The sequence below is a fragment of the Homo sapiens genome, chromosome 5, assembly GCF_000001405.40.
Source record: "Homo sapiens chromosome 5, GRCh38.p14 Primary Assembly".
NCBI lineage: Eukaryota > Metazoa > Chordata > Mammalia > Primates > Hominidae > Homo > Homo sapiens.
Genome location: NC_000005.10, coordinates 163,085,713 through 163,108,948, shown reverse-complemented (window position 1 = coordinate 163,108,948; position 23,236 = coordinate 163,085,713). Strand labels below are relative to the sequence as shown.

At 36.5% G+C, this 23,236-nt stretch overlaps 1 long non-coding RNA gene across 2 annotated transcripts in view; it reads left to right on the top strand.

Moving 5' to 3' along the window:
- LOC105377700 (uncharacterized) overlaps window positions 1-19,843 on the top strand; it is a 348,217-nt gene extending 328,374 nt beyond the window's left edge. For both annotated transcript variants that reach the window (XR_001742961.2, XR_002956233.2), the window contains one exon: window positions 19,603-19,843. This is a non-coding gene — a long non-coding RNA (uncharacterized LOC105377700). The remainder of the gene's footprint in view (window positions 1-19,602) is intronic.
- The last annotated feature ends 3,393 nt before the right edge of the window (window positions 19,844-23,236 follow it).

The following is a 23,236-nucleotide window of genomic DNA, read 5'->3' as shown; positions in this document are numbered from 1 at the left end:
GAGGTGATGGGTATGAACCCTGCCCATAGAAGATGGCTAACTTAATAAATGTGCGTGTTCTGGCTGCTCTACCAACAGGCCGGCCCCATCTCTCTCCCTTGCCGTGGGTCTCCCTATTCCCTGAGACAGAACGATATTGAAATTATGTCAGTTAATAACCCTACAATGGCCTCTAGGTGTTCAAGTGAAAGAAAGATGTCTCTCACTTTAATTCAAAAACTTAATGATTAAGCTTAGTGAAGAAGTCATGTGTGATGCTCAGACAGGCTGGAAGCTAGACCTCTTGCACCAAATGGTTAACCAAGTTGTGACTGCAAAGGAAGAGTTACTGAAGGAAATTAAAAGGACTACTCCAGTGAACAGTTGAACGCTAAGAAGAGAAAACAGCCTTATTGCTGATATGACAAAAGTTTTCATGGTCTGTATGTAAGATCAAACCAGCCATAACATTCCCTTAACCCAAGGCCTAATCCAGAGCAAAGTTCTAACTCTTAAACTCTATGAAGGCTGAGAGAGGTAAGAAAATGCAGAAGAAATGTTGGAAGCTAGCAGAGGTTAGTTCATGAGGTATAAGAAAAGAAGCCTTCTGTATAACATAAAAGTGCAAGGTAAAGCAGTAAAGGCTGATGTAGAAGCTGCAGCAAGTTATCCAGAAAATCTAGGTAAGATAATTGATGAAGGTGTGTACACTAAATAATATATTTTCGATACAGATAAAACAACCTCATATGGGAAGAAGATAACATGTAGAATTTTCATAGTTAGAAAGGAGAAGTCAGTGCCCAGCTTCAAAGTTTCAAAGAACAAACTTACTCTTTTGTTAGGGGCTAATGCAGCTAGTGAATTTAAGTTGAAGCCAACGCTCATTTACCCCTCTAAAAATCCAATAGCCCTTAATAATCATGCCAACTCTACTCTGCCTGTGCTCTATAAATGAAGCAACAAAGCCTGGATGTTAGCACGTCTGTTAACAACATGGTCTACTAAGTATTTTGAACCCATAATTGGGGCCTACTGCTCAGAAAAGAAAAGATTTTTTTTCAAATTATTACTGACCATTGACAATGCACCTGGTCGCCCATGAGCTCTAATGGAGATATACAAGAAGTTTAATGTTGTTTTCATGCCTGCTAACACACATCTATTCTGCAGCCTATGGAGCAAGGAATAATTTTGGCTTTCAAGTCTTATTATTTAAGAAATACAATTTGTACAGCTATGGCTGCCATATAGTGATTCCTCTGATGGGCAAAGTAAATTGAAAATCTTCTGGAAAGGACTCATCATTCCAGATGTCATTAAGAACATTTAGGATTCATGAGAGGAGGTCAAATAGGAGTTTAGAAGAAGCTAATTCCAACTTTCAAAAATGGCTTTGAGGGGTTCAGGACTTCAGTGGAAGAAGTAACTGCAGATGTGGTGGAAATGGCAAAGGAACTAGAATTAGAAGTGGAGTCTGAAGATGCTACTGAATTGCTGCAATCTCATGATAAAATGTGAACTGATGAGGAGTTTCTTCTTGTGGATGAGCAAAGAAAGCGGTTTCTTGAGAAGAAATCTATTCCTGGTGAAGATGCTGTGAACACTATTGAAATGACAACAAAATATTTAGAATATTACATAAACTGAGTTGATAAAGCATCAGCAGCATTTGAGAGACTTGGCGTCGGTTTTGAAACAAGCTCCACTACAGGTAAAATGCTGTCAAACAGCATCACATGGGACAGAGAGAAATTTTGCATTAAAGGAAGAGTCAATCAATGTGCCAAATTGTATTACTGTCTTATTTTTAAAAATTGCCACTGCCCCTCCGAACTTTAGCACCTACTACCTGATCAGTTATCAACTGATGACTACTACCTCAGCAGCCATCAACACTGAGGTCAGACCATCCACCCGCAAAAAGATTACACTCACTGAAGGCTCAGATGATTAACATTTTTTTTAGCAATAAAGTATTTTTAAGTTAAGTTACATACATTGTTTTGTAGATATGCTACTCTATACTTAATATTCTACAGTACAGTGTAAACATAACTTTTATATGCACTGGGAAAACAAAAAGTTTGTGTGACTTGCTGTATTGTGATAGCCGGAACTGAACTTGCAATATCTCAGAGGTATGCCTGTATTAATAAAGGCTGTCTGAGAAGACAATTATAGACCTGTTTATCTTTGTTTAATTCAGTATTTCCTATATTTTTGACTATACAAAACCTTATGCAAGTAGGTAGTTACATAGATGTGTATACGTGCATTATTGCATAATATGTTAGCACTTCTTGGAACAACTGTTTTCCTTAGAAAAAAATTTTGGGAAATGCTGATTGAGAAAGATTAGAAATGTTTGAGACTTCAGCTTCTCATGACATCCAAAATAATTAACTTTCTGGAAATAAAAGTCTTACATTTTCATTTCACTGTGCTGAAGTCAACATGGTATATGCCTTAATGCTGACCAAAACACTCATTTTAAATTGGGGAAAGATTAAGAACAAAAACTCAAGATCTAAGAAGAGTTTTGAAATTGGAGGCATCAATAGGACACTCTATGGTCAGCATGTTTCAAATGAGAGAAAAAAATCATCTTCTGCAGCAAAAAATTTCAGGTTGTGGTTTTTGTTTTAGTTTCTTACTCGCAGTGGGTTTTGAATTCAGTAGGTTGTCAGCCAGGCTCATATTTGAAGATTATGTAATGATGCCCCAAGGGGAAGTGCTTACCACTTTATGGTGTCACTCATTTATTCAGCAAGTATTTATTGAATGCTTACACTGTAGTGGCTGCTTGTTATACATTAGTTAGTAAACAAAGCCTAGCCCTCACAAAGCTCACAATCTTGTGGGAAAAACAAGGAATAAGTAACTAAACAGGGTGCACAACATCTAATTAAATGTTGCCAGAGATAAAGCATGTAAGAGATAATGAATTCGTTAATTAGCTAGATTTAGCCATTCCACAAAGTATATATATTTCAAAAGAACATGTTGTACATGATACATATATACACTTTCTATTTGTCTAAGAGAAAAAAAGAAAGAACGAGTTACCAGGTGTTGGGTGGAGAATAAGGGTGTGAGGAGAGGATGTTTCTCTTTAGATTGGGTGACTCTGGAAGGACTCTTGGAGAAGATGGCATTTAGATTGGGCCCAGAAAGATTAAAAGGAACAATAAGGGATAAGCAGAGAAAAGAGAAAGAAAATTCCAGGCAAACAGTTCAGCACATGCAGAAATCCTAAAGTGGGAAAGATCTGGAGCATCTGAGCAGCTTCTGACTCAGCTCTGTGACTCAGTAGCAGTGAGTATACTGTAGAGTGCTGATGGGGAGTACGTGGGCCAAGTAGGCGGAGCCCAGTCTTGCAGAGCCTCACCTTTGACCATAAAAAGAGGTTTAAGTTTTATTTGAAATTCATTTGAATGCTAGTGAAAGCTTTTATTTTTTATCAATATACTTTATTTTCTAGAATAGTTTTAGGTTCACAGCAAAATAATAAAGAATTTTAATTGGGAAATGATGTGATCAGATTTATATTTTTGTATGATCACTGTGGCTACTATTAATTTGGGTATGGTGTGAGTTTAGAAGCAGGGAAGTTAGGCAGGGAGATAATGCAGTTATGCAGAAGAGAATTGATAGTGGCTTTCACAAAGGTAGTGGCAGCAGAGTTGGAGAAGAATGTATGGACTCTATGAATATTTTTCATATGGCAACAATAGATTTGCTGATAAATTTTATGTGCTGTGTGAAGGAATGCACTGGTTCTTATGTTTCTGGTTTAAGAAGCTGGGTGCCTGGAAGGCAACTTAATGTCATAGGGAAAGCTAAAGGAGGGACAGATACGGAGGGAGAAGATAGCAGTCTGGAATTGGGTTTTGGAGATTTCTATGGAATAACCTAGTGGAGAAGTGACTATGAAGTTGATGTGAGTCTGGAACTCGGGGGAGAGATAGAGACTGGAGCTTTCCATGTGGGGGAACTTCTACATTGATTACAAAATTCTAGAAGATGTAATACACAGAATCTAATCAAATGTAGGAATGATTTACTACTAAATTTTTGTTCCCTAGAGGCAAGTCCTTCATACATCTCATTTTACTTATATGTCAGATTTCAGAAACTGTATTTTCCTCATTCATATTTTCAAAACCTAAAATTAAGTAAGTCTGATTCTTGACATTTCATGTATATAATCCCGGAAGCAGAGGAAGAGCCAGTTACATGCTACTCGGAGGTGGGCAGTACGCCACCCAGCGGTAAAACCACCCTAAGTAACTCACGGCTGATTATCCCCTAATGGACAGATTCATTGTGGGTGTAACTATGTGAGCCTATTTTTTATTGGTTTTCTAATTCATTTATAAGCAGATGGTGATGACTCAGTAAAATTCAAATACACACCTCATATTTCACTTCTCTTGCATTTTTAGAATGATGACCCTTGGGTTAATCTACATGATAGGGCAGAGATTCATTTTAATAGAAGAACTCGCAAGGAGGGAAAAATGAAAATGTAGCCTGATGAAGACAGCCCTGGTCTAAGACATGCCCTTATCTAAATCTCCTATCTGCTCTTTATGACTTGGAGGATATCACTTTATCTCATTTATATATATTTTTTCCCTTAACCTTATGGAGCTTAAACAAATATTCAGGGAAAATTTAAACTGAAGTAAGCTTTGAAGTAAGAATGTCCCGAAGTTTCCATTTATTTGGCTTTGTTGTCAATGCTGTAAATACATTTAGCCACTGTTTTTCTAGTTGACATATGGTTATAGGATCTCAGAGATTAAGTGCTTTCCTGTATATGTGTGGTATTGTTAGATATAAAATATAGACTATTCATTACATGCATATGTTCTCTTTCTGCTAAAGGAAAAAAAAAGAACAACCTTTACAAACAGGTTTTCTGCTCTTCACTTTATCAACCGACAAGTAAGCAGTTGTTTTGATTCTGGGATTCTTTCTATTGACAATTCTGTGCCTCTTTCCATTTAATTTTATTTGCCATTATATCCCACTAAGTAATTAGCTCTGCATTTTAGAAAATTTAGAAGCTAAGGGAGTGATTTGAAATAGTAGAATATTTTTCTTTTTTTATAATAGTTCAAACTGTGTTAAGATTTATCAGAGACTTTTAAAATGTGAGAACCAGTTGTGTGTTTGTGTCTGGATGAAAATTATGTCTGAGAGAAAAACAAAATTATCTCTAAGAGACTGAGAAATCAAGATGAGGTAAAAAAATAAAACAAAGCAAAAACAACACCAAAACTATTGTCTTCCCAACATATTTATATAAGAATAACTTATAAATATTTACATAGCTTTCAAAGGAGAAATTTATTTGCAGTTATATATTAGGTTTAATTTGTGGACAATCAAGTTCCTCAAGCGTTTCTTCTTATACTAAATTCTCTCACCAGGCAATAACAAATATGACCTGGATTTCAATTATCAAGTATATGTGACTATTCCAGATTTAAATCTCCAGACCAGACCCCCTGCGAGCTGCAGACTCTCTATTCCAAATGCTTACTCAGTATTGCCACTTGGAGGTCTCAATGGTATGGTACTCTCAAAGGTACTTCCCTCACCAAATCTGTTCCTTCCCTAATATTTATCAAAAATATAGGCCTGCTCTGTAATCCAGGCACTATATGAGTTACTACAGTACAGCAGAGAACAAGACAGTGTCTGCCTTTATGGGGGTCCAGTGAGCGGAAGCCAGAGGTAGAAATGGAAGTATCTTCATGGATACTTCTTCTTCCATGTCTAATTTATCATCATGTCATGCCATTTTTATATCAGTTCATCTACTTTGTGACTATCTAGCTTAAGCCACAATTTTTATCCACACAATTTTTATCACTTATGTTCTCTAAAGTGTACTTCTCACACCTACTCTGCACTTTTCTAAACCAATTCCTACAAGGGATAGGCAAAGAAGTCTTTCAAAACAGTTTTCTTGCCACATAATATTCTCTCTTAAAATCCTTCAGTGACTTTCCATTGTTCCTATTTTGAAACTATAGTTTTTAACATATCCCTCAGGGTGCCAAATAATCTGGCCTCTGCTGGCCTTTCTAGCCTGACCTGCTGCTCCTCTTTGTCCTTTATCTCTGCACTTCAGCCATATTTGCATTTTTAAATGTATTCAGTGTCTCATAGTGCAGTCTTATTTACCTTTCTTTCCTCATCTCAAATCTCATTTTCTCTATGAACCCATCCTTAACTTCTCAGACAAGATCAAGTTATCATTATATGCATTGAACTTCATAAAACATGCTTCATATATTTGTATAATATATGAGTTAATATCTGTCTTTTCTAATGGTGTACAAGTTTCATAATGGAAGAGATTTCCATCCGTTATTTTCAATTTTATACCTGTTACATCTAGAACAATGTCTAGCACACAGCAGATGCACAATAGATAAAATATTGATGCTTCAGGAGTATGTCATATTACGCTTATCAGGACCTGTAGCAAATGCAGTCAGTCATATCCCCTCAGCCTATCCTAGGACAATCACACATGGCTTCTGTGTCTCTTTGCCTAGTGGTATTATCTAGCTGCAAGAGCATGGCTGCCAAGGAACACGTGGAGGTGCTGTAGAGTTAATTTCCCCTGGAGTGATGTTCAGCCAGTGAGGGATGGGAATCTCAGGGTGTGTTGCACAAAGACTCTCAGAGGGTCGTCAGTAGCATTGACACCCAATTGCCTACAGCAACAACTTGCTCATTTATTCACCCCTTACTAACACATCCCCTCCTCTGCTCTCTCACTTTTCTACTTCTTCACCGTACTTCCTGGCATCACCTCCCTGCAAAACCTCTTGCACCCACATCATTGTCTCAGAGTTTGTTTATGGAGAAACCCAAACTAAGAAGGAGCTAGAGCATCGCAGAATGTCAGGGGTACTATTCTAGTGGCACTAATCACGTTGTATTCTATTTTTCAAGGTACCACTTACATTAGAGCACGAAAATAAAAATTGTGAAAGAAATATTTCAGGACGAGATTTTGATAATAACTAAAAGTTTTTTAGTTAAAAACTTTCAACTAGGCTGGATGCAGTGGCTCATGCCTGTAATCCCAGCACTTTGGGAGGTCGAGGTGGGTGGATCACCTGAGGTCAGGAGTTCAAGACCAGCCTTACCAACATGGTGAACCCTTGTCTCTACTAAAATTGCAAAAATTAGCTGGGCGAGGTGGTGGGTGCCTGTTATCCCAGCTACTCGGGAGGCTGAGGCAGGAGAATCGCTGGAACCCTTGAGGTGGAGGTTGCAGTGAGCCGAGATCACGCCATCGCACTCCAGCCTGGGTGACAGAGCGAGACTCCGTCTGAAAAAAAAAAGGCAAGAAAAAACTTTCAACTAGTGTTTATTGAATACTTTCTGTATTTTAGGAGTAGAAGGGAGGAAGGGATGGATGAAAATTATATACCTACTATGTACCCATAAAAATGTAAAAAAAAAAGTGTGACTTTGACCTTTTTGAATTTATGCTTCTATTGAACCTAAAACAGTTTAGTATATGATATGAGACTTTCTATTTCGAAGTGCTACTTTTGGCCTAAAAGATGATAACTGCAACTTGAGAGACTCAGAGCCGAAGCTGGTAGAGTTTGTCTCCTTGATGAACTGAACTGTCCATTTTATCCTAAGCATTAAGCAGGAATAGATTATCTGGTTTTTTAAAATGTTATTTATTGTGTCTTCCCTCAGGCAAAAATAACATTAAGAATGACACAAAATAGCCTACTTAAGAGATCACTGCCGGAGTTCATCAAGGTTTCTGATTCTTCCTACCCTCCTGAGTGTTTTGAATTTTCTTCTCAGTTGTTTTTCAGTCCTCCACTTAATTCAATTCAACTAGTACTTATTGAACAAGAAGTATGTACCAGTATCTGCGCTAGACACTGTAGAAAATTCGGATACCTTTGAAATATGTACAATTTAGTGAGGGGTATAGATAATTATTATTACACAAGTGTATATTTGAAATAACAATGTTTAAAGAAATGGAAAGAACATGGTTTTGAGGACAAACAGGGAGATCATTCTAGAGAAAGAACATTGCAGGTGGGTATTGAAAGATGTGATGCAGCATTATGAGGCAGTAAGTGAGGTCACATGGTCTCTAGGTGTAGACGGAAATAGTAAAAGTAAAGCACAAGTAGGAAGGCACAACCAGGAGCAGAGGGGGGTGGCCAGCCAGAACACAAGTGTGCGGCTTGCATAATGGAAGGAAAAAGTGGAAAGTCGGGTAGGAGCCTGGAGTAAATGCTAAATTCATAAGGACTGCCTTTATTCCACAGGCAAAGGAGCAGGAGCACATCAAAGGTGTGTGTCAAGGGAATACTAATAGCAAGAATATTTTGATTGTAAATAATAGAAACTTGGTTCCAACTAGCTTGAGCAAAAGGGGAATTGATCTCAACTAGTCCGAACAAAATAGAAACATAGGAGGAGCAGGCATGGCTGGGCTCAGATGCTCAGATGATACCGTGAGGAATCTTTTTCTACCTCTGGGGTCATTTTTTTTCTCTGGCATTTTCATTATTCAGCAGTAAGATGACCATTAGGAGCTCCAGGGTTGTATTCCTAATCGCTTTCAGTGGAAAGAGACATTCTATATTTCTTTGCTCCAGGGGAAAGAAAACCAAAATAAAAGTTTTTTGTTTTTTTTTTTTAATAAAAAGGCAAAACCCCAAAAACTCCATGATCTTAACTCTCATTGGCCTTGATTAATTCATATGCCCATTCTGAACCAATTGCGGTGGCCAGGAAGAAGGCCTAGCTACACAATTTGTGGGGCTTAGTGACTAACGAAAGTGTGAAGTTTCTTGTTCAAAAAGTAAGAAAAGAGTGCTGTTAAAGGTGATTAAATATGAAGTTTCTTTCTTCCATGCTCACATTCAACTTGTCATGGTGTTTTTTATTTGCTGTTTAATGTCATTCTAAGTAAAGAAAATTTAAATTTTAAATGATTAGCATAGACCTTACCATTTGTCTTTATATATGCAATGCCAGTTTTAAATGACATTTAATTCATATACAAATTCGTCAAAATTACAAAATTTATGTTGTATAAACTTTCTCATGCATATGGATTTTGTTCTTACCAGAAATGTAGAGATGCTGCATCATACTAACTTCACTTCTTGATATGTCCTCATTCTGTCAATATTCTCTAGGTCCCACTCATTGATGAGTAAGGAAGGACCAAAAGAAAAAGGAATTCTGAGTTGCCCCGTTTTTTCCTTTCCTTCTAGAATGTCGTCATTATCAGCTAAGTGGTTGTATAATACAGGAATGTTACACTGGAAAAAATGAATATGATAGGGTTCTCTGGTCACCCGTGTTTCTTAGAATGCAATTGCCTTCTTTTCCTATTGAAGGAAATTCTGGCTCAAAAGAAAAATGTGGCTTTCAGGGCCCTCAATTATTCAGTTTTAGATGCAAATGATACCTTCCTGCTTTGAATATCACTGAACTCTAATGTACTGAAATTCTGTATTCATGGGGCCATGTGAATGCTACATGCAAATGTTATGAGTGAATGGGGTAGCATGGAGTGATGGACATTGTGCATATTTACTCTGCTCACATGGAAACCTTATTGTCCCATTGGATTTTCCTTAAAAAACACAAGTTCAGAAACAAAATTATTACCTATTTTGAGACAGAGGCTGTAACACATTAAGCCAATTGTGAGACCCTTCCGACTGCAGGGTCCTATATATTTACATGGCTCACACATTCCCCAATGAAGCTGGCCCTGCAAGGGGACAAGGAGTACTGTGTCTTAGTTTGGATCACTTGCTCACCCCTGGAGCTGTAATTCTCAATCAAAATGGTCTGACTCAGAAAGGAGGAGGGGATGATTCTCCAAGAGAAAGGGAGAATGGATTTTGGGCAAATGCAACAGATTTTCATTATAGGAACAGATAATCAGGGGGAATTGTGTATTCTCTTTTCCTCATCCACAAAATCCAAAGAAGTGTCCAGCCAAAGAATAATTGGAAATTTTTTCCTGCAAAATACCTCTTTATTTCTTGCTTTGCTTCATGGGAAACTCACCTCCGTTAAAAAAGAATAATCTAATCTGTCTGTATCTATTTTCAGAATTGATGCTATCTAGTACTTGTGAATAATATTAAATAGGTAATCTCCTGATTGTTTGTGAATGGAGATGACCATATCTGTAGTGTAAGACTCCAAAGAAAATTTTCTCCAGAATGTTGGTGATGGTGCTTGGCGGTGTGGAAGGTTGATTCCATGTGCTTGAATTGTTTTATCACATGACTATGTGTACATGTCCTTGTTATGTAGCCAAGACCAAGATGCTAGTAAATGCAATCTTCTTATTTGTATTTTTGATAATACAAAAATAATACATGAAACATAGTGCATGCTTATAAATATTTCACTAACTGTTGAATGAGTGCCATATTGCATGATTGCTATTCTTTAGTCTTTACTCAGAGGGGTTCTATTTTCTACATTTAAGTAGCAGTGACCACAATAGCTGGATGTGATATTCATTTAGACTTAAAAAATTGCATCATATTGTCATTCTGAATAATTTTCCTGGGTGTCCACTGTCCAGGGCTCGTCTTACAAAAGTACATCTGAAGATTTTCCAGGTTTTTGAAAGGAGTTCATTTTGGGAAGGTTGACATATCCCATGGCTCATTCAATGTAAAAGATAGTTTAATAAGAAAAGATTGGCCACATGGCCTGCATGTACTTTTTCACCCCAATGTTTTTGCCTTGATCCTCTTTCTGCCTACCATACTCTTTCCCCAGATATGCAAAAGACTTGCTACTCGTCTGTTTTAGGTCTTTTCTCAAATGTTATCATCTTGCTGAAGCTTCCACTGAACACACTATTTAAAATTGAGCCTCTCTTCCTATCATGGTATTTCTATTCCCCTTTCCTGTTTATTTTTCTCTAAGGCACTTGTATCATTTGCCAGATAATATATTACTTATTAATTTTTATGTGTCTGTCTCTAGATACTAGAATATAAGTCCAATAGATCAAGGACTTTTTCTGTTTTATTTATCACTGTATCTTGAGTATCGAATAGTTTCTGGCACATACTATGCTTAGTAAATATTTGTTCCAACTCCATTGAGTTGGAAAAGACCATGGCCCACCGTGGAGATTGTGGCAGCCCACGATGGGCCATGGACCACATTTGGAGAAATCTGACTGACAAAGCACCAATTTATTGGTATATTAAAAATATTTTTCCAAGGCCCCTTGGATTTGCATCTTTTGACCCTTTCCTTTAGATTTGAGAAATTCTGTGTGTCACTAAAGGTAATCTGAGCAGTTCACATGTTGGTATTTTTCCAGCTGAAAGTACGTTCTTATAAAGGAGATTAGAACTGGATGGCCCAGAACCTGCTGAAAACAAAAATAGATGAAAAGATTGAGTTGTGACAGAATAGAGTATTCCTAATCACCAATTGAAACCAAAACCAAACTTTTCCTTTATAATTCTATTTTGGTTTCAACTTAATAAGTTGAATTTACTTTCTGAATTCAATTTTTTTTCCTTCTAGCATCTCTTCACAGGTCCAGAGTGGTGAAAACTGAAATCAGTTTAATTCTTTAGAGCTAGGCTTATAATAATAAAATTGCCAAAAAAAAGATACCAGTGGGATAGCAAAAGATAGTTCATGAAATGAAACAGCAGGTTGGTTGGAGGAGTGATTTCTGTGAGTAACTAACACGTAAGGAGCATTTGCTATATAGTAAATACCTTAATAGGTGTTATCCATGTTTGTACATGAATCTTGTTAGTTAATTCAAACAATTCTATGCGATTACTATTATTGTTTTCCTTTTACTAATATGAAGCTGAAGCTCATGAAAATTAAATTGTTTACAATCAAACAGCTAGTAATTACTGAATCTGAAATTCAACTCCATGTCTGCTCTTACCCAGAATTTATGCTCTAATCAATATATGCTGGACTGCGTTAGAGAACTTAAATTTTCTAGCAGAATAAAGAAATGGATTTCATTGATTGGTGATTTCTTCAGATAGGTGGTTGAAACCTCTTATATTTACATTCATTCAGTGCTTTGCACTTTTCAAAATATTTTCATATTACCTCCCTCTGTCTTTTTCTCTGTCTTTTTCTTCATCTCTCTCTCTCTGTGTCTTTGTGTCCCTCTCTCTCTATCTGTCCCCGCCTTATAAATGTATTTATTTTATTTTATTTTTTGCCAGAAGCTACTGTTTGTATGGTTTTTGATGATTGAAAAGACCAGTATATTATTGCCCTCTGAGATATCCTTGGAATGAATGGAATAAATGGATACTTTTCAGGTCTGTCTCTTTTCTCTTGACTGTAAATTGGTTGAAATGAGACAACATTATTTTATTAATAAAAATTTGATAGTAATTGGGACAGGAGCTAGGCTATATTAAAATGAAAAATACCTTTTGATATGCAAATGTTTTCTTCCTTAGGAAAATTAATCACATACATATGGTTTCAGGGGAATATTTAAATCACTTCCGGCATTAGTTTTCAAGGACCTTAAAAGCCTTCACATACTTAGTTCTAAAAGCACAGCATTAAACAGCTGAGCAGACCCTCTATGAGCATTTGTTTCAGCGATTTTATTTTGTGTTGGAAAACAATGCATAGAAAGTTGACTTGTGCTAAATCACAGTTAGTAAGTGGCTGAGTGAGATTTGAACACAGATATGCTGTTTTTTTTTTTGCTTAAAAATCATTTCTCCAAATCACATGAACATAAAATGCACAAACAATACTTGCAAACCCAAACATAGTTCTACAAAATAACATGATAGCTGAATTAAACTACTATATCTAATTCTAAATACTAATGTAATATTTCTCTTATGAGAGCCATAATCCAGAATTTTCCCTAATTTGGATAGTCCGCTATTCTTGTTTTGTTAGAGAAAGTGGAGACTGAGTTTACTGCCTCTACTAATACTGTTGGCGTTGCTACTCCTGCTGCTGTTTTCAAGCAATCCTTTATTGAGTGCCTATGAGAGCAAGGTGCTGTGATGGATACATTATGTGTTTATCAGTGAGGTCAGTCAGGAAACAGATACCACCCTAACTATTTTGAGAAGAAAGGAATTTAATACAGGGGATTAGGTGCTTAGAAAACCACTGGATGGTCTCCAAGAGTGAAGGTCAGGAAAGGCTGTCACTTGTTTTCTATTTGCTGTAGATTTTTAGAGGATCAGGAAATTGCTGCTTTTTCTCATGTTGAGAAAATTTATAAAATGTGTAGCATCAAGGAAGGTGACTCAAGGAGAGAAGGTCAAACGACTGCTTGTCACTGCCAGAGGAAGAGAAATATGCTTCGGCCACCTTCTGTCTTACAAACTCACCAAAATTGGTAGAACCTAATCTGTATCCAGAATCCTGTCCATAAAGGAGCCTGGGAAATCCAGCTCTTAAGCTTCTAGTCTTTGCTGTAAAAGGGAAAGTACAGAAAAGGGTGAAAAGGCTTCCAAATCTCAACAGACAACTTACAGCAGACTATTTACTGTCTCATTAAATTCTGTGAGTAAGCATTATAGATGAGGAGACCTGGGACTTAGAAATATTAAGGAACTGTGTTAGTAGCCCTGGCTTGCATAATAGGCAAGCCAAAAATGTTTGGTAAAGCCGAGAGTGATAAAAGATAATGAAATAATTTGTTATTTGGTATTTCTAAAAGAAGCATTAAGGCAGTCCTTGTGGGAAACACCAGGGACTTTACTGAACTTCCTTGCTCTGATTTTATGACTCTATCTCTTTCTATGTTATCTACCTATCTATTTTCAACTATAAAAATAGGGTGTAACTTCCGGTCACACAGCTGAACAGTGGAAGAAGAAGGCTTTGAAGTCAAAAAGTCTCACTCTGGCACCTAGAATTAACCAGCAAGCCAAATGTGTTGTCATCGAGGGCGCTGTACTTAACATGATTATTTTTTAATTAGCATTCACTGTCATATTTTCTTTTGTTTATCCTGTGTCTGCAAAATATACTTTACTTACTGTCACCTGATGCTGAGAGGAAAAGAAAAAGGTTTATTATATTTTAGACCTATTGATTCAAGCTATAGAGCAAATAGTCACGTATTTTTCTCCTTGAAGAAATAAAGATCCCAAAGTAAATAGTGTCGACTTTTAGGGTGAAGTGAAACCAAGAAAACACACATGAGAATACGAGAATGAAGGTTTCATACTATATAAGGAATGGCAGCCACTCATCTATGAAGACAAGAAACTGAGGGGGCTGCATGTTATTATGAAAAAGGTGGCAAGCGTTGCACCAACAGGCAAAACCCTTGGGATCTAATCCCAACTACTTGTGTGCCTCCTAGAAAATTACTTAAACTCTGTGGATACGTTGCACAAATGTGAAAATTGGGGTTAGGTGGTTGCAAAGATTTTTTTCTGCTCTGAAATTCAAATTTTGTGGTTTGTGAAACATTATAACAATATAAAGTTTATGCTTGCTTACCATCAACTGCTGACATTTTTCTTTTGTCTTTGAGATTTTGAAAGTTTAATAAATTTGAAATGAGGCAATTTTGAAGCAACTTATTTAAGCACAGATTTTTCATATTTCTAAGTACATTTCAGACAGGCAAATTTTTCACTTTTAAACATTTCTGTATCGGTTGCATATATTTTTAGTCCCAGCAGACAACTCCCAAGCTATTTAAAGAAAAAGATTTTTACAGATAATTACTAAATTTGCAAGTTTATAGGGTGCGTTATCAGTTTTAGACCAGAGAAAACTAATTAGAATATAAGTTGGAAAAATAGCTGCGTCTGCTCAATATCTGATTATTTTGAGGTTCAAAGCTGTACTTTTATTGAAATTAAACTGCTTTTGTGTTTTTCTTCATTTTAGTTTTAAAATTGATGGGCTAGAAAACCTAGCCATTTTAACCAACTCCCATTGAAGTGATTAATTTGAGGTATAGCTTATTTTCATCCAAATTGAATTAATGTATTAGAAGAAATGGATCACTCTTTTTTGTCTGATTACTTTTAATTGGTTCCAGCTTAATAAGCAAACATTAGTTTAATGAAGTTTCTGAGTTTATTATGGTCTGAAGCATGTTGGTGTGAGGTGGTGTGCTTTGGTTCCAGGATTAACTTGTCACCTTAGGGCATAGCTGCTTTATACTAGTACAACATTTTGTCTTTAAGGATGGAATATAAGTTTATTCATTATCTAGACTATGGGATGCATAGGGTAGAGGGCATTTTAACCTCTCTATCTGCTCTGTTAGAAAATGTATTGTGATAGACAAACATTGGAGAGAGAGAGAAAGAGAGAAAGGTAAGGAAGTAAGGAATGGCTGCAAGAAGTAACATGTAGCAGTTATTTTCCATCACTGGTGTCATACATGGGTAAAAGCATGGTCCTGCAGTTAAAGAAAACTTGGCTCTAGTGTCAAATGAGTCACCAGTTATACCTATTTTGTAGGACAAGACACCTTATCTCTCTGGGTCTCAGTTTCCTCACAATGAGGGGTTGACCCTGGTGATTTTACCTGCTCTGAGATTCCATGATCCTATTATGTTCAACTACTGTGAAAATTGACCATAGTTAATTCAGTTGTTGGTAGTTCATTTCAGGCTCATCTTTTTTAATGTTTTGATAAGAAAAACAAGAAAGAGACTTCTAGAAATTGACAGAGAGAGAGCCATTCAAGGAGACAATCTTATCCTTCAGTAATACAAATTCTATCCACTTCAGGAAGTTCAGATTAGTTTATCCCGCAACTCTTTGCTTAAGCCTTTTTTTTCCCCAGAAGTTCTTCTACCTCTCAGAATTTGCTAAAAAGTTGCTCTATTCTTTGAATTTTTTGTATATTGAGGATAAATGTTCATCTTTCTCATGTATATATGTTTCTAGGGTACTTACTTTCTTAATATTTGGAGATACATATTCAACGAATGCTATTTTTCTTTTTATAAAATCTCATAAATGTAAAAATATTTAATTTTCTTTTCCACATTCTTTGAATTCTTTTTAATTTTTGTGATGGATCTTTGATTTTAATAAACTTTTAAATATAAAATAGTTTTAGATTTATACAAAAGTTGTGCAGATAGATACCCCACACCTGATTTTACCTATTATTAATATCTTACATTAGCATGATATACTTATTACAATTAATGAGCCAACACTGACACATTATTATCAACTAAAGTTCACATTTTCCTCATATTTTCTTAGTTTTTGCCTAATGTCTTTTTTCTGTTCTAGGATTCTATCTATGATACTACATTTCACATAGCCCTGTTTCCTTAGGCTCCTCCTAGTTGGGACAGCTTCTCAGACTTTGCTTGATTTTGTTGACTTTGATGGTTTTGAAGGAATGCTGTTCATGCATTTTGTAGAACATTTTTCAGTAGTGATTTATATTGTAATTTGCTTATGATTATACTGGTGTTATGGGAATTTGGGAGGGAGACCACAGAAGCAAAGTGTCATTATTATCATGTCATAGCAGGGGCACATACTAATCAACATATGCAACCACTGTTGATATTAACCTTGATTATCTGGCTGAAGTAGTGTTTGTCAGGTTTCTCTATTATAGAGTTCTATTTCTCCTCCTTGAGAATGGGGTATCTTTGTAAATTATTTGGAATTCTTCAGCATGAGAAACTTATTAGTTCTCTCTCATCTATTTATTTAATTAGCTATTTATATTAATATGGGTTAATGGATATTTATTTTATATTTTAGGTTATAATCGAAAATAATTTTATCATTACTCTTCCTGCTTTGGCCATTAGGAGCTCTTGCAGTTAGCTCATGTGCCATTATTTTGTTATAAACCTATCCATGTGGATTTCTTTCTTTTTATTCTTGAATATAACATGCTCCAGACTCATCTTGTACATTTACTGCCGCAGTCCTAGAATCAGATATTTCTCTAAAGATATTTGGTTCCTTTATTGGAGAAAGGTATCAGAAACCAAGATCTGGGCTTTAGGTGTTGCTACTAGTGTATTGTCTCTTGTAGACCGTTATAGTTGACAGAACAAGAAAATACATGTGTGTATGCTAAGTTGTGCATAAACACACACACAAGCACATCCCTAAACATTTCCATCTGCATCTGTATTAAGCTAGACAGGAGTTCATACTGATGTTCCCAACTGTAAACATTACCACATGGATTTTTCTTGTCTTGTCCCTTTGCTTGTCTGTTATCTACCACTCCAATAGTGAGAAATCTTGCTCTCATCATCCATCATCCATTTACTTTATTGTAAAATTACAATATACACATGTAGTTTTAAAATACCTGTTAACTATATCCCCAGGGAAAACAACTTTATCAAGGAGAGTATAGTGCTTATGTTAGGTTCCTTTGTATTTAGTCTTACAGTCTTCACTCCTTTCCAAAGTTACTTAGATGAGCACACTCTTCAGCAAAGTTATTCCATGCATTTTTTCATGCATTTTTAATAGTTATGTTCTTTTGTCACAATCTGCATTCCATATTTGAATTTTTTTATGAATGCCAACTTAATGTCTTTGGATATTCTGTTTTATTTCTTTCAGTTACTTCTCATCCCTTTCTTTCTTCCCACCTTCCCATGAATGTATCTGCTAGCATGCCATTTCTTGCATTGCATTATGATTATTTGTTAACATATCTATCTTATTCTCCACTGATATAGTTTGGATTTTTGTCCCCACCCAAATCTCATGTTGAATTGGAATCCCTAATGCTGGAGATGGGGCCTGGTGGGAGGTGTTTGGATACTGCAGGCAGATCCCTTATGGCTTGATGCTGTCTTCATGATAGTGAGTTCTTGCAAGAGCCTGTCATTTAAAAGTGTGTGGTTCCTCTTCCTCACTCTTTCTCTCTTGCTCCTGCTTTCACCATGTGAACTTCCTGCTTCTGCCTTGCCTTTCACCATGAGTAAAAGATTCCTGAGGCCTCCTCAGAAGCAGATGCTGGCATTATGTTTCCTGTACAGCCTGCAGAACTGTGAGCCAGTTAAACTTCTTTCTTATAGATTACCTAGTCTCAGGTATTTCTTTATAGCAATGCAAGAATGGCCTAATGCCACCCACTACACAATATACTCTTCCTGAGCTGAAATTATCTTCTCCCTAGTGCCTCATATGACATTTGTGATACAGTAAGTGCCAATTAAATGTTTGGATCAATGAGTCTTTGAGTCTCAGGTGAACAGAGTAACATTGTCATGTACCAGGCTTATATAGTTGGGTTCAGATAGAAAGTTAAGCTGCTTTTTAGCTGTTTACCTGTAAAATTTGACCTTATACACAGTGTAATATCGAAGAGTGTAGTCTCTGTAGTCAAAATGTCTAGTAGTGGATCCTGGCTCCACCACTTACAAGTTATGTGACCTTGGAAAGAGAACTTAACTTCTTTATCCCCCAGTAAAATCTGAGTAATAATAAAATCAAGCTCACAGCATTATCCTGAGTTGAATGAGAAAATACTTATAAAAGCATTTGACAGAAGGTCTAGCACATATGGCTTTAAAAAGGCAAACATTATTATTATTGAATTACTTTCATACAATGTTATTCTTAAGAGGCATATCTAAACTATTCTTTCTCTTTTTCCATTTCCTTTGATAGAATAATTTAATCTCAGTACTCTTCCTTTATTTCGATAGATTTGATTATTTTCCTCCTAATATTTGTGTGTGTGCCTGTCCTTTCCCTGAGCAGTGAGTAGAATGATTATTTCTCAGAGTAGACTCCCTAGTTTGGCTTCTGGCTTGAGAGGTAATTATTTTGGCATTATCTTCCACTGCCCTGCATTTGCCATCTGTTGGCAACATCATTGAAATCATCTGAATTTTCTGTAGTCTGGCAATATTTTATCTTTTTATTGGCTCTACCTCCAACTTAAGTTTTATCTCCAAAATGGGGAATTTGGCTAATTTCTGAAGTAGGCCTGAATATTTCAGGGTTTTGTAGGACATCTGTAGTTTGCAATTTGGAAAGGTACCTGTCTTCCTTCCCAAAACCCTGTTAAATATAAGAGAAAAGAATAACTTGAAAATAAAAAATGAGTGAATTTAGTGTTAATTTTGGTTTATGCTCTCATTTTATTAACTCAGAATTATCCAAAAATGACCCGACTTTGTAATTTCTATACTACAAATGGAAATTATCTTTTAACACTGAGACTTTTTTAAAGAAAAATCCATGCCTCACAATACTCCAACATGACTGTCTAGTTCTGGATTCTGTCAATTTCCCCATAGGTCTTCCAACTGCTCGATGTTCTTTTAAAATGCCATTTTCAAGGACTATTCAACAGGCTGAGTTTGCATCCCCAGAATCACTACCTTTCATGTCATATGAAGGATATTCTCACTCTGTCACATCCTTCTTTTCCCGTGCACATTTGTTATTTATCTTGCATCTGGATCTATGCCAGAGCTGCCTGTAAATCTTAACAGAGTGCCTCTTAGCCTCTGAATTCCCTTTATCTGTCATGGAAGCATATTCTTGAAAGAACTCCAGGAGGGCAGTTATAATGAGTGATCCTCTCATTTTCCCCATTCTTTCTTTCAGACTTGCCAAAGAAGCTGCTTATTTCACAGAAGGATGGTGCTGGCTGAAAGATACTTCCTTGAAACTGAGAGATTGCTTCCTTAGACAGGTCTCCTTGAAGAGGTATTTGATTTGCATTTTAATTGTTGGAGCTAAAAACCTAGCTCAGAACTTCAGTTATCTGCATTGTTTCTGTTTGCATTCTTGCAGTGTGTCACTTAGGAGCATATAGAAGTAAATTAAATACGTATGTTTGGTTACACATTAGAGTTTCACATTTATTTGATAAAAGCTGCAACTATCCTTTAGACAATAAGTACATACATAAATAATAAAAAGATCGATAATGTCTAGAGTTGGTAAAAGTATGGGGAAGTAGTTACAATCATTCTTACATCTTGCAGAAAAATATTGATTGCAGCAACATTTTGGGGAGATTAATCTGGTAGCATCTAGCCAAGCTTTAAGGCTCTTTAATTCCTTTATCAATTCATTTAATAAAAATCAAGTGAGCACTTAGTATGTGCCAGGCACAATTTTAGTTACCAGAGATATGGCAGTAGAAAAAGTAAGTCCTTACCCCTGTGGGTGGTACTCTTATTTGGAGTAGGACTGGAAACAGAAAATAAACAAATAAACAAGTCAATCCAAAGTATGTCAGATGTAATTAATGCTTTGAACAAAATAAGGTGAGGTAGAAAGAGAAGAGCTACTTCTTTTGGGGAGGTATGTTACTGGTTTTATTTAGCATGTTCAGGAAGGGCGCCGCTGAGAAGGTGACATTTGAGTGGAGACCTGAAGAATGTGAGAGAGTGGGGCATGCAGATACCTAAGCAAAGGCAGCTCCAAGTAGAGGGAACAAGCAAATGCAAGAAATTCTAAGGTGAGGGCTTGCGTCGTGTTGGATTCAGGGAATAGTGCTGAGGCCAGTGTGTCTGGAGTGAAGCGACTGTGGTGGGGAGTGGTAGGAGATGGGGTCAAAATGATACCGAGGGTGAAGATGAGCAATTCACAGAAAGACACAGGTCATCGAAGGACTTTGTCTTTTGCTCTAAGAGAACTGACAGACCACTGATGGATTGGGGCAGAAGACTGACACAGTCTAAGTTTTAATTTTTATGTGCATGATAAAAGAACAAGGACAGAACAGGCACACTAGTTAGACTATTGCAGCAATCTGGAGGCTATTGCTTTTAATTTCTGTGTAAATAAACACATCAGAACATAAGGCTCTATGTGCAGGGGTGTTTGTTGCAACACTGTCTTATGTCACCTCATTACAGAAAACACTGAATGCATACTATATCGATAGGGGACTGGTTGGATAAATACTGCTACATCCATACAATGGAATAGCATATATGTATTATAAGAGTGAGTTAGGACTGGGTGTGCTGACTCACACCTGTAATCCCAGCACTTTGGGAAGCCTAGGCAACAGGATTGCTTGAGGCCAGGAGTTCAAGAGTAACCTGGGGAACATAATAAGACTCCATCTACAAAAAAGTTTTAAATATTTAAAACTTAGGTGGGCATCATGATGTGCACCTGTAATTCTAGCTACTCAAGAGGCTGAAGTGGAAGGATTGCTTGAGCCCAGGAGTTTGAGGCTGCAAGGAGCTATGATCACATCACTGTACTCCAGCCTGGGCAACAGAGTGAAACCTGTCTCTAAAAAAAAAAAAAAAAAAAAAGAAAAGAAAAAGAAAAAGAGTGAGTTAGAATTTTGATCTACTTGGTCTGATGTCAAAGCTTGTGCTTTTCTGTGGTTTAACTCCTACATTACATAACTTCAAGACAAATAGTTCTTTTTTTTTTAACTGTACTTTAAGTTTTAGGGTACATGTGCACAACGTGCAGGTTTGTTACATATGTATACATGTGCCATGTTGGTGTGCTGCACCCATTAACTCTTCATTTAACATTAGGTATATCTCCTAATGCTATCCCTCTTCCCTCCCCCCACCCCACAACAGGCGCTGGTGTGTGATGTTCCCCTTCCTGTGTCCATGTGTTCTCATTGTTCAATTCCCACCTAGGTTCTTTTCTTAATGGGAGAAAGGCCATGGGTCTTTGAAGGCTAGAAACCTGTTAACATTTATTTTCATACTCAGACAATTCATGATCTAGCATAGTTGTTAGCATATAAGACTCACTCAATACTTAATTATTGAATAAATTGGGTGGGAATTATAACTGAATATCCTGTAATTTTTATATTTACCATAGAAATTACATATACTGACACTGAGGAAAATTTTCATAATTTACTTTTTTTTTCCAAATGGAAATCTCCCTTGTGAGTAAGATTATAGAATAGCACGAACATGCAGAATGTCTTTGTGTGTAAATTAGTGAGCATCATGTGAGGAAGAGCTATAACTTACTATTTGGAATCTCTGTATATACTTTGCAGGGGAAATCACATCTGAATGTTCCTTTATTGTATCATGCGCAGAACTCTGAATTCTGAATGAAATTTAGGTTCAGGCAATTAAGGCCATAAAAAGTTTGTTCTTTATGTGGATTTATCTACTTCAACTTTTATTTTAAATTCAGGGGATATATGTGCAGGTTTGTTACAAGGGTACATTGCATGATGCTAAGGTTTGGGGTTCTTTACATTTAAAGAATGTAAAGGGGTAGGAGGAGAAGAGCTACTTTTTTGGGGAGGTATGTTACTGGTTTTATGTAGCATGTTCAGGAAGGGCCCCTTCCCCTACATTTAAAGAATGTAAAGAACTTTGGGTAGGACCAGCTTGACCTCTCATTTTGATATATTTTTTAAAAAGACAAATATCTGGCCAGGCATGGTGGCTCATGCCTGTAATCCCAGCACTTGGGGAGGCCGAGTCCGGTGGATCACCAGGGTCAGCAGTTCGAGACCAGGCTGGCCAAAATGTTGAAACCCCATCTCTACTAAAAATACAAAAATTAGCTGGGCATGGTGGCAGGCGCCTGAAATCCCAGCTACTTAGTAGGCTGAGGCAGGAGAATCACTTGAACCAGGAAGGTGGATGTTGCAGTGAGCCGAGATCACGCCATTGCACTCCAGTGTGGGTGACAAGAGCGAAACTCTGTCTCAAAAAAAAAAAAAAAGACAAACATATTTATTTTCCTAATAGTTAATTATTTACACTCTTCATTTTTCTGGTATCTAAAGCTTTTATCTCACTGCAGTGAACATTTAAGGTAATTTTTCAGTGGGATTTCTCTGCCCAATACCTCCTTCACAAGCTTCTTTGAAGTAATATTATCCTAATGTTGCTCTTAAGTTGTTTCAAACCCTCAAATATATAAACAAAACATTGAAAATATTCTTTTATTCTAAAGAATATGCATATATGTGTAGATATTGCAAGTGATATTAAGCATAAGTAGAAAAATGTACATAGAAGAATGTTATTATCCATGATCTCATCAGCTGGTTATATCCATAAAACATTTTGTTGAATAATCTTCCATGCTATCATTAATTCATTCATTGGCTTATTTATTTAGTCCTTCAGTTTCTTTAATAAATGTTACTGCTTTCCTACCTTGTGCCAGGTACTGGGTGTTGGGAATATATTAGTGAAATAAGGCTATGAGGTCTTTGACCTCAAGGAGCAAATAATACAGGAAGAGAATCAGACAATAAAGAGGTATTTATGTA